The sequence below is a fragment of the Homo sapiens genome, chromosome 11 (genome assembly GCF_000001405.40).
Source record: "Homo sapiens chromosome 11, GRCh38.p14 Primary Assembly".
Classification (NCBI taxonomy): Eukaryota; Metazoa; Chordata; class Mammalia; order Primates; family Hominidae; genus Homo; species Homo sapiens.
In genome coordinates this window covers 126,007,518-126,023,276 of record NC_000011.10, presented here as the reverse complement: position 1 = coordinate 126,023,276, position 15,759 = coordinate 126,007,518, and the positions used below count along the sequence as shown (strand labels likewise).

The window sequence follows — 15,759 nt, the reverse complement described above, 5'->3', positions numbered from 1 at the left end:
ACCAACTACATGATTTAAAAACTCGATAAATTAAGCAATTTAAGGATCTCTTGGTAGTGCTTTGGGCATTAGCAGGCCTTCCTGTCCTGGCCCTTATAATTTATCCCTTTCATTTTTTAAAAAAAAATACATATTTTCCAATCATGCTTTTTTTAAATAAGGGGATATGTCACTAATTTCTGAACTTGGAAAGAACAGGAATAAAATGCGGACTAAATATACCAAAGAGAAGTTTTAGAATCAGCATGATACTGTGTTCAACTGGGAGTGAGAGAACTTGGTTCAAATCCCAGGTCTGCCACTTTCTCTTATGAGCTTGCCTAATTTATTGTCTACCTCTTTGGGTTACTGAAAAGCATAAATGTGTTTGTTGTTAAATGTGTATGTAAGCCCCATGCCTAAGACATGGTTCACGTGCATTTCTTTTTATTTTAGACTTGGGTAAAGATGAATATATAAGTAGATACAAATACAGTGATGTTTATTCATTGAGTACTATTTATTTTTAATATCTGCTAAAAGTACTATATAGCTGTATTAAATTTAATAAGGGGAAAATTGGTTTTGTGGTTTTACTTTTGTTTTGCTAAACAACCACCCCAGATTCAGCCAAAAGAGATACTTCCCCTTAACTTCATTTCTGATTAAATATTCTATAGAAGTAGATTCAGCAATTTATTGATTTTTTTTCTCTTAAGTATTTTATTCTAGAAAATTAACAACTATTTCTTCCCCCTTCCCACTCTCGGGTTGGAACAGAAGGATCTGCATGGATACTTCAGTGCAAGAACACCCTCGCCTTCCCATGTTCCTGGAGTAATAGAAATAACAGACGAAACCATTTCAAATCCCAAATAAAAATACGAAGCCCTATGTTTAAGAAAGGATAGCCTTTGTATTTCAATTGTGGCTTCCTAGCTTTCTATTTCTGTTTTCTTAAAACTTAAACATTGTTTTATACTGAAGGGAAGTAGTAAGGAAGTACCACAGCCCTCATTTGTAGAAAAACTTGCTCTCGTAAATCAAATCCTGTTGGTAAAATAGGGGAGAATTCTTTTTATTTGGAAAGTCATCTTCACTTTTTCAGGTTCTTAACTTCCAGTTCTTCCAAGTCACTTTATTAAAAGAGCTGTTTGCCATTTCCTTCTTTCTTTTTTTTTTTTTTTTTTTTTTTTGAAGCAGGGTCTCCCACTGTCACCCAGGCTGGAGTGCAGTGGTGCAGTCATGGCTCACTGCAGCCTCCACCTCCTGGGCTCAAGCAATCCTCCCACCTCAGCCTCTGGAGTAGTAAGAACTACAGGTGTACACCACCACATTGGCTAATTTTTGTATTTTTTATTGAGATAGGGTTTTGCCATGTTGCCCAGGTTGGTCTTGATCTCCTGAGCTCAAGGATTCACCCGCCTTGGCCTCCCAAAGTGCTGGTATTATAGGCGGGGGCCCCAGGGCCCAGCTGCACTTTGCTATTTCTTATTAATAGGATTGATATTGTATCTGATTTATATCATCAGCATTCTTGTCTTTTGTACCCTAATTGTTAAGTCCTAGGCTAACATGTTGCTCTTTTTTACTTCCAACAAATAGGCTTATAAGAATTTTGCTAGAACTTTTACAAGCATCAAGAACCATAACATATATAAAATAAAAGATTGCCTTTAGTTATAAAGATACAGATGAAATGTGTTTAATGTAATCTTCTTTCTCTCTCCTCTTTTCTCCCCTGCTTTCTTTGCATATGGGGAATATTCCCTTGTAGACTTGGCACCTTATTTTACTTCTGAGCCGCTCTCTGCTGTCCAGAAACTTGGTGGACCTGTAGTACTGCATTGTTCTGCTCAACCTGTGACCACTCGTATCTCATGGCTGCATAACGGAAAAACATTGGATGGAAACCTGGAACATGTTAAGATTCATCAGGGGACTCTGACAATTCTTTCTCTCAACTCCTCTCTTTTGGGTTACTACCAGTGCCTTGCCAACAATAGCATCGGTGCCATTGTGAGTGGCCCTGCGACAGTATCTGTGGCAGGTGAGTTTAATTTTGTCCCTGTTAGGTATGGGTTTTCTTGAAATTACTGTTAGTGCTTATATTTCTGAAGAGGGGAAAGACCATGGGCTTTGGTGTAAAGCATATAGGAGTTTTTATCTCAGCCTTGACTCTTGCTGTGAGTATATTGTGGAAGTGCACTTAGACCTCTGTGAGCCTGGCCTCATGCCCTCATCAGTAACAATGATATGGAAATGATTTTTTTAAAGTTACGCAGTTAGGACAGTTTTTTTTTTTTCTTTATAATCTCTGCAGCTTTGCCAGGGAAGGACACTTTTTAAATGTGAATTCTGAACAATTTCTTTGTGAGTGCTTGGAAATCCATGATATCATTAACAACAAAAGCTGTTGTCTACTCTGACAGTTATTTCCTGGAGTCCTTTGTCTTTCTTTCACATCTAATTGTTTTATTTGCCTTGATTACTGAGTGATTTTAATATATTTAATTGAAGCCATGGTTAAAAAGCAGGAAAAAAGTAACTGTAAAGAAAGGAATGTTGAGTATTGAACTTACGGAAAATCTGGAATGCGTGGTTTTTCTTAGTAAGTTGGAGCCATCTGCGTTTCAAACGGTGATGGCTTCCAGTAATGGAAAACGTCTTTGTAAGGGCACCCCTATTTACAGAACAAATCTGGATTCCCCAGGAGTAGTGAGTTTGTCATAACTGAGAAGAGTAAATGTTTTTGTAGAGCTGTGACCCATGGACAGCTGTAAGACACACACTGGAGGGCTGAATTCCTCGTGGCAGGCTGCTGAGTGCTTTGAGCCCTGGAGATAATAAAGAGTCCCCTGCAGGCTCCGTCCGTAGTGAACTGAGACTGAGAGGAATTGAGACCAAGTTAGTAGATTCAGATAATCTAAATAATGATATCCTTCCTTATTTTTTTGATGTCCTAGGTTCATTCCAGAAATCATTTTATTGCAATGTGAATAGCTACAAACAGATTAAAGATCCGTAGGGAAAGTGAGTTTTGATGGGGCACTGGATTGAAAAGGATTTATCTTGACTGAATGGGAATAATTATGCTTTATGGTTCTAGATGTCTTAGGAGCAGTTTATATTTATTCCCTAGAAGCATTGACTTATGAAAAAGGGTGCCGTGACTTCGGTCTTAGCCCTCAACCATGCACATGTGCCCCAGCTGCTTTCTTTTCTTTTTTTTCTTTTTTTTTCTCTTGAGACAGGGTCTCACTCTGTTACCCAGGCTGGAGTGCAGTGGCTCTCCACTGCTTGGCTCATCACAGCCTGAACCTCCTGGGCTCAAGCGATCCTCCCACCTCAGCCTCCTGAGTAGCTTGCCCCAGCTGCTTTCTGAGATGAAAAGATCATGCAGCCCTCTGGACTGGGGTCAGCTGCCACAAAAGGCCGTGCTGCAGATGTTGTTTCTAATTTGTAAATTTCCTTTGGGAAAAAGAATTCAAATTTGCATGTATTTATTTATCTGTTTCCTTATATATTTCAGTTCTTGGTGATTTTGGTTCATCCACAAAGCATGTTATTACAGCAGAAGAAAAAAGTGCTGGTTTCATTGGCTGCAGGGTACCGGAGAGTAACCCCAAAGCTGAGGTGCGCTATAAAATCCGGGGAAAATGGCTGGAACATTCCACAGGTGAGACCTTTTGTGAAAAGCCGGTGGCACACACAGAACAAATGCTCATTAAATAAGCTACTTCTAAGCTCTGTGTGCTAGGGACGAACTGTGGATACAAGAAGGCATGAGTGGAGAGGACTAAAACAAATGGTTACAATATACAAATAATTACGGCCCCATACCCTGAGGCCTCACTCCCTCAGTTCCTTCAGACCCCCATCAGATTTCACTTCCTTGGAAAAGATAGCCCTCATGGTCCTATCTAAAATAATATGCCTGGTGCTCTCTGGCCCCTTTATTTCGTTTTGCTTTTCTTTATAGAATTGATCACACCTGATACTGTGTTATTCATATTTCTGTTAGTTTATTATTGTTTGTCTTTTCCTCTGACCTCCCCACATACCCCTACTGGAATGCCGGCTGCATGCATGCAGGGTTTTTGTCTGCTCTTTTCCTTGCCGTAGCACTTGTGCCTGGCCATTGTTGGCAGAAAGTAGCCCCTTAATATGTATTTGTGGAAAAAAAATGAATGACTAGACAGTGCAGGAACACCATGTGACCAGTGCTGTAGCTAGAGGTTTGCCAAAGTCAAAGCATGTTTCTTGTGCTTTGAGATTCACTACCGTTAACATGCTTCTGCTGGGTTTGGTTTGCTATGCTAGTTCTGTAGACTTTTTTTTCTATTCTGCCTTGACTTTCCCTTTCCTTCATTTAAGAAATTTTCCTTGATTGCTTCTTTACCGCTAATCTCATGTCTAAATGTAACGCAGGCTGGCCGGTGGCTCACGCCTATAATCCCAGCACTTTGGGAAGTTGAGGCAGGAAGATCACTTGAAGCCAGGAGTTCAAGACTAGCCTGGGCAATATAGTGAGACCCCCATCTCTACAAAAAATTTAAAAATTAACTGGGTGTGGTGGCATGCACCTGTAGTCCCAGCTACTTGGGAGGCTTAGGTGGGAGGACCGCTTGAGTCCAGGAGTTCCAGGCTGTAGCGAGCCATGCTTATGCCACTGTACTACAGCCTGGGTGACAGAATGAGACCCCCATCTCTAAAATAAAATAAGATGGAATAGAGCATAATGATCAGCCTTTGTGAGTTTTAGTTGTGCTGTGGTGTCCTTCATAAAGGGAGAGGCCTAACTGCACTCCCTTCCTTCCTCAGAGAATTACTTAATCCTTCCATCAGGAAATCTTCAGATTTTGAATGTATCCTTAGAGGACAAGGGATCATACAAATGTGCAGCTTATAATCCTGTCACACATCAATTAAAAGTTGAACCTATTGGCCGAAAGCTCCTTGTGAGTCGTAAGTATTTGGGAGAATAATGGTAACTGGAAGAGGAAGAGTCCTCATAAAAAGTTGGGCAATGATAGTTCATTTTTTTTTCAAATCCTGTTTGTTTATCATAAAAAGTCTTACCAAAAAAGTAAATACAGGCTAGGTGTGGTGGGTCACCCCTGTGATCTCAGCACTTTGGGAGGCTGAGGCAGGTGGATCACCTGAGGTCAGGAGTTTGAGACCAGCCTGACCAACAGGGTGAAACCCTGTCTCTAATAAAAATACAAAAATTAGCTGGGTGTGGCAGCACATGCCTGTAGTCCCAGCTACTTGAGAGGCTGAGGCAGTAGAATCGCTTGAACGTGGGAGGCAGAGGTTGCAGTGAGCTGAGATTGCGCCACTGCACTCCAGCCTGGGTGACAGAATGTGACTCTGTCTTAAAAAAAAAAGTAAATACATGAATGCATTATAGAAGAGTTCTGTACATGCTTTAAAAATGTAACTTACAGAAGGGAATTTTGGCCAAGGTGACAGAGTGAATACATGTGGAGAATTTTGCCCTTTGTTCAAACAAGAAGAAATAGAGGAGATACAGCTTTATAGTAGTGGTCATTAAATTGATGTCTGTGAATTTTGAAAAAAAAAAAAAAGAGATATGTCTGTCCTCTTTCTTTCAGATGTAATGAAAATCACTGTTGATTTTTAGGTTATGGCGGTTGAGTTGAGGTAGCACCAATAGAGCATAGCAGAGGCGTGGCTTCTGAACTTGTTGGGAATTCTGCATTTCCAAACTGCCAATTCAGAAGTAGCCCTAAAGGACCACAAAAATCTTTTAATCCTCAACTAAAAAGGATTTAACCACCAAATAGGACCTTGTAGTATAAAGAATACATGGGAAAATGGTGATGCCCACAGGTTTGCTAAGCAAGAGATTAGAATCGAAGACTTACTAATAATCTCTCATCTCCTTTCCTTTTCCAGGTCCTTCTTCAGATGATGTTCACATTCTTCACCCCACCCATTCACAGGCATTAGCTGTTCTTTCTCGTAGCCCTGTAACCTTGGAGTGTGTGGTGAGTGGGGTCCCGGCTCCTCAAGTGTATTGGCTAAAGGACGGGCAGGACATTGCACCAGGAAGCAACTGGAGAAGGTTGTATTCTCATCTTGCCACTGATAGCGTTGACCCGGCGGACTCCGGAAACTATTCCTGCATGGCGGGAAACAAGTCTGGAGATGTAAAATATGTGACTTACATGGTTAATGTACTTGGTAAGATGTTAGTTTTTAATTTTTTTCAAATGAAGCCATTTTTCTGGTCTAACTGATACCTGAAGGAAAGATCTATTTGTGAAATTGAAATAGGGAGTATCTAGAACTATCTATACCCTAGCCAGAACAAGTTTCATTTTTATAATGGACTGCTGAATTAGGCCATTTTTCTGGGTGGCATAGAGCATTTCGCATGGAATATTCTTCGGAACCTCACCCCCAACCTCGTTGTACAATATAGAAATTATTCTCCCTTCTTCATAACATGGAGGAAAAAACTGGAAATCAGGAGAATGGAAGAATCTAGCCTATATCTGTGTGTAGTATCCAGTAATAGTAACTAAGACAGAGTACTGATGAGAAAATGTCAGGCCAGGCATGGTAACTCACACTTTGGGAGGCTGAGGAGGGCAGAATACTTGAGCCCAGGAGTCCAACACTATCTTGGGCAATATGGCGAAACCCCATCTCTACCAAAAATACAAAAATTAGCTGGGTGTGGTGGCACAGGCTTGTAATCCCAGCTACTTGGGAGGCTGAGGTGGGAGGGTGGTTTGAACCCGGGAGGTGGAGGTTGCAGTGAGCTGAGATCACGCCACCGCACTCCAGTCTGGGCGACAGAGCCAGACCCTGTCTCAAAAAAGAAAATGTCATCTCAAAAAGAAATCAATCTATTTAATTTAATTTTCTTTTTTTGGGTGCTCTTACCAATGCCTGGGTGATAAAATTGAATTATTTCCACCCACATTTCTATGTATACTTTATTTCAAAGCTATTCCTTTGTTTCTAACCAGCTACCTACCTCACTATCATGTGTAGCTGCAGAAAATGTTTTCCTTTATTGAAACAGATTTTCATGAAAAAATTAGGTGGAAAGTGGTTTCATAGTGAATAAAACTTTTGTAAACTCTTTGCATGTATTTATAATATTTATAACCATGGCCTGCTATAGGTTAGCAACACTGGAATTAACATAAGTGTATGACAAGTGGGCTTTGGAATTCAGTGATTAGGACTGGATTAATATGCATAATTTAGACTGAGGCTACAAATTCTGATAAATGATACACTTGTGGGTAATAAGTGACTTTAAGGATCCCTAAAGGAAGTTTTGTTCTTTTATTTTCACCATTATACATCTAACCTCAAAGTTGAATTGACCGTAAACATAATTTAACCTCTGAGTAAAACGTTCTTCTGTTTTGGCTTCTGTTTAGTGTGAAATCCAGGGAAATTGTTACTGTATTTCAAGCTAATCACCTGAAATAAATGCTAAGAGAAGCCCAGGATTAGAAACTATTTGTATATATGTGTGTATTCGCGTATGTTGTGGGGAGTTAAGTGGGTGGTGTAATCTATGAAAGGAGACTATATCTTATTAGCAACATATGGTTTATCCTATTAGTGGAACATTTCTAATTTTTTTCTTGATTACCACAGCAGACAGAAGAATGTGAATAAACAATGCAACTTTGTTTCAACTGGTTATTGGTAGAGAGAAGATTTTTATCACTCGAGTGATAATTTAAGAAGTACATTTTGAGGGCTAGAGTTTAATTTGTGTGTTTTATTTTCAGAACATGCTTCCATTTCTAAAGGACTACAGGATCAGATAGTGTCTCTGGGTGCCACAGTACACTTTACCTGCGACGTTCATGGGAACCCAGCCCCCAACTGTACCTGGTTTCACAATGCACAGCCTATTCATCCTTCTGCACGACATCTAACTGCAGGAAACGGACTGAAAATCAGTGGGGTTACTGTGGAAGATGTTGGGATGTATCAGTGTGTAGCAGATAATGGGATTGGATTTATGCACTCTACTGGAAGACTTGAAATTGAAAATGGTAGGCTTTTAGGTCGTGCCAGTCATAAGAACTTTTATTTTACAGATGGGCTTTTGTTGTGGTCAAAAATGAAATTATTTTTACTAAAAGAAAATAACCCTAGCACCGTACAAGAACGGTGTTCATTTTCCATGGTCCTGGCTAGTGACAGGTAGGCATTTCCATGAAGAAGTAATCTTATTAATCAAGCTCATTAAAAAAAGTTTTTAAAAAATTTTCAACAGATTCTGCCTACTTTAAAAATCTATATGGTACAATCTCTCTCTTACTCTTATTCCCTAGACAGTCAGTTCCTCTCTTTAGAAATAATTAGTTTTATCAGTTTCTTGAGCAGCCTTGTATGTAGTGCACATATGAGTGGTTTCACACAACATGAGAGAGTGTGTGTGCATTTTATAACAATACCTTTTTTTGTTTTTTTTACCTAAATAGTGGTAGCATTCTTTACCATAAATTTTTTACTTAACATCTTGGGATATCTTCTCATATGGTACATAAAAAGTATTTTCATTCCTTTTTAAAAAGTTGCTGCTTAGTGGTCCATTGTGTAGTTGTAACAATTTGACTAGTACCTTATTGATGGTTGTTTTTAATCTTTTGCTATTACAAATAGTTCTATAATGAATGCCCTTCTACAAAGATTATTTTGCGCCTGTGTGAGTATTTGTAAAAGAAATTCCTAGAAATGAACTTGCAGAATAAAACCATATCTGTGTTGGTAATTTTGGTAGAGATTACTGAATCACTCTCCATAGTCGTTATCAGTGTACACTCCCACCAGCAATACTTAACTCTCCTTGTTTCCTCAAACCCTCACCAACATGGGGCATTGTCAATTTTTAAAGTCTTTGCCAATCTGATAGGTAAAAAAGAGAACCATTTAATCTATATTTCTTTTATTACAAGTAAAGTTGGGCCTCTTTTCATGTTTTTGAGCCCTTTAAATTTGCATTTCTGTGTATTGACTGTTCTTTGTCTTTCGCTCATTGAAAAAATTAGGTCGTTGGTCTTTTTTCTTCTTGATTTATAAGAGTTCTTTATCTGTTAGGGAAATCAATTGTTTATGATATGAGTTATAAATATTTTAAATTTCAGAAAATCAATATAATATGGACCAAATGTTCTGACATTAGTGTAAGTTATTTAGAAGTTAATAATGAAAACAATTTTTAAAAATTGGCATGTATTTGGACATTTAAAATTATACTTCTCAATAGTTGGATCAAAAAAAGAAATCATAATGGAAATTTAAAATACTTTGAACTGGATGATAATGAAAATGCTACAGATCAGTTTTGTAAGAGACAGTCAAATGGAATTTAAAAGGAAATTTATAGCCTTCTGTGGCTGTAAAAGAAAATTAGTAAGACTAAAAACTACTGAGTGAAGTAAAAGGATAACAGAATAGATTCAAAGAAAGAAAAAAAGATCATAAAAATAAGGGCAGAAATCAATTAAATAGAAAACAAAGATAAAATACAGAGGATCAATAAAGATAGAGGTTGGCCCTTTGTAAAGTCTAAGAAAATGGACACATCTTTGGGGAAAATGATCCAAAGAAAAGAAAGAAGGTACAAATAATATTAGGAACAAAAGAGGGCTATAAATACAAGTCTTACAGCAATTAAAGATAATAAGATTAAGCTAAATTTTGTGACAAAAAATTATAATAAAGACAGAAATGGACAAATTCTGAGGAAAAAATGTAACTTAGCAATGCTGACTGAAAAGAAATAAGCTTGAATAGTCCTACACCTATGAAAGAAGTTGAATTAGGAGTTAAAAATCTCACAAAGAAAATAAGGGGCCAGATGATTTTATGGAGGTTCTACCAAACTTCGAAGTGATAGACCATTTCAGATATTGTACAAAGTGTTCCAGAGAAGAGGAAAAGATGGAAACTCTCCAGTCTTGATTCCAGAACCACAATAAGATGGTGCAAGAAAGGAAAATCAAAGCCCAATCTCATTTATGAACATAGGTGTAAATATCCTAAATAATATATCAGCAAGCCAGGACAGTGTAAAAAAGAAAATACGTCATTTCTGAACAGTTATCCCAGGAATCCACTTGAAAATGTAGAGTGTCATTCACCCTATTTATTGAATAAAGGAGAAAAACAGTATGATTATCTCACTAGAGATGGAAAAACATTGGACGTAATTAAGTATCCATGTTAGACACTTAGAAAAGTAGAAATAGAGTTGAACTTTCTTAATAAGGAGTGTCTAACAAGGACTTACAGGAAACATTGCATTTAATGGTGAAATATAAGAAGCACTCCCTTTGAAAATCTCTTCTGGCCATCATTATACTGGAAATCCTAACCAGCACAGAAAGACATGAAAAAGAAGGAAAGAACCCAGATCATTGTTAATTTACAGCTGGATATGATTGTCAACATGGGCTATCCCAAATAGTTTGCTGGCCATTATGATGGCTGTTGTATGTCCTATTATAACCTATTATGATAAATAATAATATTTAGCAAGGTGGATGGATGAAGACCAATGAACAAAAATCAGTTGCCTTGGCCAGGTGCGGTGGCTCACGCCTGTAATCCTAGCACTTTGGGAGGTGGAGGTGGGTGGATTGCCTGAGCTCAGGAGTTCGAGGCCAGCCTGGGCAACACAGTGAAACCCCGTCTCTACTAAAATACAAAAAAAAAAAAAAAAGCCAGGCATGGCAGCGTGAACCTGTAGTCCCAGCTACTCAGGAGGCTGAGGCAGGAGAATTTCTAGAACCCGGGAGGTGGAGGTTGCAGTGAGCTGAGATCGCACTACTGCACTCCGGCCTGGGCGACAGAGCGAGATTATGTCTCTTAAAAAAAAAAAATCAGTTGCCTTTCTGCATACCAGCAACAAACAGAAAGTATAATTTAAAAACCACCTTTTTTATATCACAGCAGTAAAGCACAGCCAGTTATATAGGAAGAGATATCAGTTCCTCAATATTATATATTGTATTCAGTATTATATAGTTATCTGGTCTAAAAATTTTCTGTGGATTTATGCAATTCAAATTAAAATCCCATCATAATATTTTAAGGACCTTGACAAACTGATTCTAAAATTTATATGCATAACCCAATGCCCAAGAATGGCAAAGACACTCGAAGGAGAAAAAGAACATGGGAGACTTGCCTTAAACATCTAAAATATCTGTAGTAATTAAGAAAATATTATATTGGTACAGAAACAGATAGACTCTTGGAACAAGATAGAGACTTTCAGAAAGACATTTGCATGTAAGGGCTTGACTGAGCCGGCATTGCAGATCAGCAGGGAGGAGACCCATTTCGCATTTTGATGTGGGATAATTGTTATCAGCATGGAGGTAAAAGTGAAACTCAGGGTCTTACTCACATTGTATAAAAGATACATTCTCAGTGGATTAAAGATCTAAATATGAAAGACGAGATGAAAAAGGTTTTCAAGAAAACATTGAAGAATGTATGATCTGTGGGTAAAACTTTTTAATAAGACATTTTAAAAGGCTCATTTTAAAGGATGACCACATTGAAATGAAAACATCTTCCTAATAGATACTGTTAAAAGCTGAAAAGAAAAGCAGTACATTAGGAAGGAGATACTAGTCACATGCATACCTAAACAAAAGAACAGAATCTAGTATATACAGAGAACTCCGAATCACTGCAGAAAAGATTCATGACCCAATAGAAAAACTGACAAAGGCATTTCACAGAGGAGGAAAATTAATAATGTCGCATAATCACATGCAAAGATGTTCAGCCTCATTAGTCCTCAGGAAAATGCATGTTCTGACCAGTGAGATAGCATTTTACACTCAGTAGCTTGGCAAAAATCCAGAAATCCGGTATCAGTTGTTGGTTGGTTTTGTCAGACATGGGAAGGAGGACTGGAGAAAAAGACAGACATGCTAGAGAAAATGTCATTTACTTTGATCAATATTCCATTGTAAGCTCTCTTCAAAATACCTCCAGAGAATACCAGGACCAAAAGGAAAGATTTGGTGCCACTTTAATTTAGAAACAAAAATTCTGTTCATGCCTATGGGAAAAAACATACAGGTATCATCAGTATCAGCTTTTATTGAGAACAGGTTTTTTTCTCCCACGCTTTTTATAATCAGATTCCTGCCTCCCTTCCCACCCTACCCCACAAAATTGACCATTTTCTTGAAGGAAAATTATCTACTTTTATACTTATTTACACATTTTTCCTGTTAAGGTCTGAGGTTTCAACCTTATATGTTCTATATTTGCAGTGGTCAGATATGTGTAGTGTACCTTCAGAAAACTCTCAAAAGATTTCTTTATATATATTCCTTTCTTTCTGAAGGACAGGAAATTTACGTAGGAAATGTTTAGGAGCCCACAGCTATGAAACAACTCTACCATTTATTGACAGTCTTACTTGGTGAAAGTTGAGAAGGGAACTAATAAGGAGGTAGCTATCTTGGTTTTAATCATTACTCCCACATTTACGTGATAGGATGAAGTTGTTTTGCATCGTAGGTACTACAATGTTCTTCATTTTTCATATGTGAATTACTTTTTTAATAGACGGTGGATTCAAGCCAGTTATAATTACGGCACCAGTAAGTGCAAAGGTTGCAGACGGAGACTTTGTTACTCTGTCCTGCAATGCCAGTGGGCTGCCGGTTCCGGTCATTCGTTGGTATGACAGCCATGGATTGATAACCAGCCATCCATCTCAAGTCCTGAGATCGAAATCCCGAAAATCACAGTTATCAAGACCTGAGGGCTTGAACCTGGAGCCTGTGTACTTCGTCCTGTCCCAAGCTGGTGCAAGCTCTCTCCATATTCAGGCTGTGACTCAGGAACATGCGGGGAAATACATCTGCGAAGCTGCAAATGAACATGGTACCACACAGGCAGAAGCATCTCTCATGGTTGGTGAGTTGCCATTATTATTTATTTTTAGTTGAGTAATTTCCTTTTATAATAGAAGATAAAGTGATTTGAAATATGTTATTTTAATGAATCCAGCAATCTCTCTATATTTTTTCCTGATGACAGTGAAATGTAGAACTGTATTTCTTGGTATTTCACTTTATGTGAATCACATGAATTTTGGTCTCTGTTTCTGATGTGTTTGTTAAGATTGTAGGTGCAATACAGAAAGCTCTCATTTGGGAGCAGGCCCAGAATATAACCTGTCTTTGAGATGAATGCTTTTGGTTTTCTAAGCTACCGAAAATGATATTGCAGACATTTTTTATGCCCTTGATAACTACAGTATTGGGTCTAAAGGACTGGCCTTCATTGAGAATGTAGAGTTGTGGTACTATTAAGTAATACCTGTATGTATATATTCCCTGTGTCTTATCCAAAGTTATTTTCTAATGGGATGTATAATATTAATTCTTCATATTTTACTGATTTTTTGTGATGATGACTTAAAAACTATATATGATTTTTGATGTACTGGTATATAGACTATTAATATTCATGGAAATGGACTCAAACTTGACTTAATTCAAATTCAGACCTTCCATCAGTAGGCATTTAGGGCAGCTTTCCCCAACAGCTAGTCAGTTGGGTGTAGATTGTCATCTTATTTGTCTTGTGAGAGGCCCAACATCAAAGGCAGTACTGCCTTTAGTTTTGGGTAACTGAGGTCTCTGACCCTGGCCTCTGCTTTAAGGGGCTTAGCGTGGCTCTCTTCTGCCTGGGGCCATGGTCCCACAGGTTAAAGAGCCCATAGGGTCGAGGAGCAGTGCTTATGCTGAGCTCAGAGCCCACATTCCTCCTTCTAGACAGGTCTGGGGCTCCAGCATTTCCTGCTTCAGTGAGTTCACAGTCTGGTCCCCACAGTTCCTCTCCCCTGGCCCATCCGCCACAGTCTGGACCACACGACCAGTGTGTGGGCACCCTTAGCCAGAGCAGTGGTCAACGGGGGGTCCTTGGCAGAGGAGTGATGGTTGAAATAAAAAAGAGTTCGTATGTGCACATACGATTTCCCTTCACGTGCAAACAAGGACGCCCTTGCTCTGAATGAAGCTGGAGGCGGAGGAGAAGTGGTGGAGACCAGGGACTTCCCCTTATCCTCTTGTGCATGTTAGAGGTGGGAGAGATGTGGAGGCTGAGCACGTGGGCTGTGTCAGAATCCTGGCTCTGCCACTTAGCAGCTTTGTAACCCAAGGGCAAATCACTGCACTTCTCTGTTCTGTTTCCTCATCTGTGTAACAGGTATAGTGAAGGTGCCCCACTCATAGGGTTGATGTGAGAATCCAAGGAGTTAATGCGTAGTAAGTGCTTAGAATGGTGTCTGGCAATAGAAAGCCCTCCATTGATACTAAGTATAAAGTTATGATTGTTACTGTCTAATTATTATTAAATTACAGTGATCTCTTGTGGCAGTGTTAAGGGAAGGAAGAAATAGTTACTGATTTTAGAAACATTAAGAATCCTTAAATGAAGAAAGTAGTTCAGTGTTACATAAATTTGCACCTATAAATGAATGTGCGTGTGTGTTTATATTTCTATTCCTCTAGGCAAAAATAAGAGTGGCTCTGCTCGAAATTGTTAACTGCATGACAGGTGTAGTTGCAGGAGCTCCTTGGGTAGAATTTAGCTGAAGCGATTATGTGAATACAGGGTGTAGAGAGACAGATGTCATAGTTTTATGGCTGATGAAACTAGATATTTTGTCGAACTTCCTCACCTTAAATATGAGAAATCGGAAGCCCTTTGAAGTTATGTGAACTAACTTTAGAAGATCTTTAAGATTCCCCTGTGCTCCAGGATTTTATGTCTCGATAAATACTACTTTTATGTATGGTAACCCCATCAGCTGTATTCTACCAAAGAGGTCCTACGTTGTCTTTTTTTAATTTTCTAGTATAATTATTAAGATCCAACCGAGTTTATTAAAACTCAAAACAATACATGACAACTCACTTCTTTGCATAGGAATCTGAGCCTTATGAAATTCTAGCATCCTGACAAGTCATTTGACTACTGTACTGTAAAGGGGAGAGCAAGCTAGGTTAGAGAGAGAGATAACTCTCTCCCCAGCCTTTTGTTTTTTCCAGAGACTTTGGGTTTTTGAGGTCCTGGATGTACAAATATTTGTAGAGTGTGTGGTACTCTTTAAAACTATAATGAGAGTTGGTGCGGGTTTCCTAAATAGTTTGGGTTGTGAGTTGCTGGCAGCAGTGGTCACAGTGGGAGCATCTTTGACAGATATGGTTGTACTCCCTCCCTGTTTAATTAGTTTCCACTTAGAGTCATTAAATTTATTTACATTGCCGTAGTTGCATCAATCTCTTTTCCGATTCAAAAAACATTCTACCTTAAAAGATGCTAGATGCCTGTTCTACCCATTTCATAGAGTTCTGAAGATAAGTTGAGATAATACATGCAAAAACACCGGGGAAGTACTGGTAAGGTCTTTTCAGTTGTATTGAGTGTATCTCCCAAGTGCCCAGATTATATCATTGAAACAGAAGAAGAAAGTTAATTGAATCCCCCTTTTAATAAAAGTTCTGGAGAGGTCTCATTGCATCTTAAGTCTTACAGAAATGGAATTTTGATACTCAGACAGTGGAGAAGCTGCAGCATTAACGTTTTTCTCATGCTTCTGTATGAGGCATGTGGCATTTAAACTCTTTTACAGCCAGATCCCACTTCCCAGTGGAAAACTGCCCGGAGGATCCACTAAACTTCTAATGATAAAAAGGTCCTTCTCCACTACCTCAAGCCACAGTTAATTAT

At 38.6% G+C, this 15,759-nt stretch overlaps 1 protein-coding gene across 14 annotated transcripts in view; it reads left to right on the top strand.

Moving 5' to 3' along the window:
- The window catches only part of CDON (cell adhesion associated, oncogene regulated), a 106,515-nt gene that overhangs the window by 40,059 nt on the left and 50,697 nt on the right, over window positions 1–15,759 (top strand). For all 14 annotated transcript variants that reach the window (XM_017017873.2, NM_001441166.1, NM_016952.6 and 11 more), the window contains exons 3-8: window positions 1,757–2,029; window positions 3,512–3,658; window positions 4,804–4,947; window positions 5,902–6,189; window positions 7,767–8,036; window positions 12,583–12,936. In XM_017017873.2, the coding sequence (XP_016873362.1) occupies window positions 1,757–2,029; window positions 3,512–3,658; window positions 4,804–4,947; window positions 5,902–6,189; window positions 7,767–8,036; window positions 12,583–12,936 (1,476 nt within the window). The remainder of the gene's footprint in view (window positions 1–1,756; window positions 2,030–3,511; window positions 3,659–4,803; window positions 4,948–5,901; window positions 6,190–7,766; window positions 8,037–12,582; window positions 12,937–15,759) is intronic.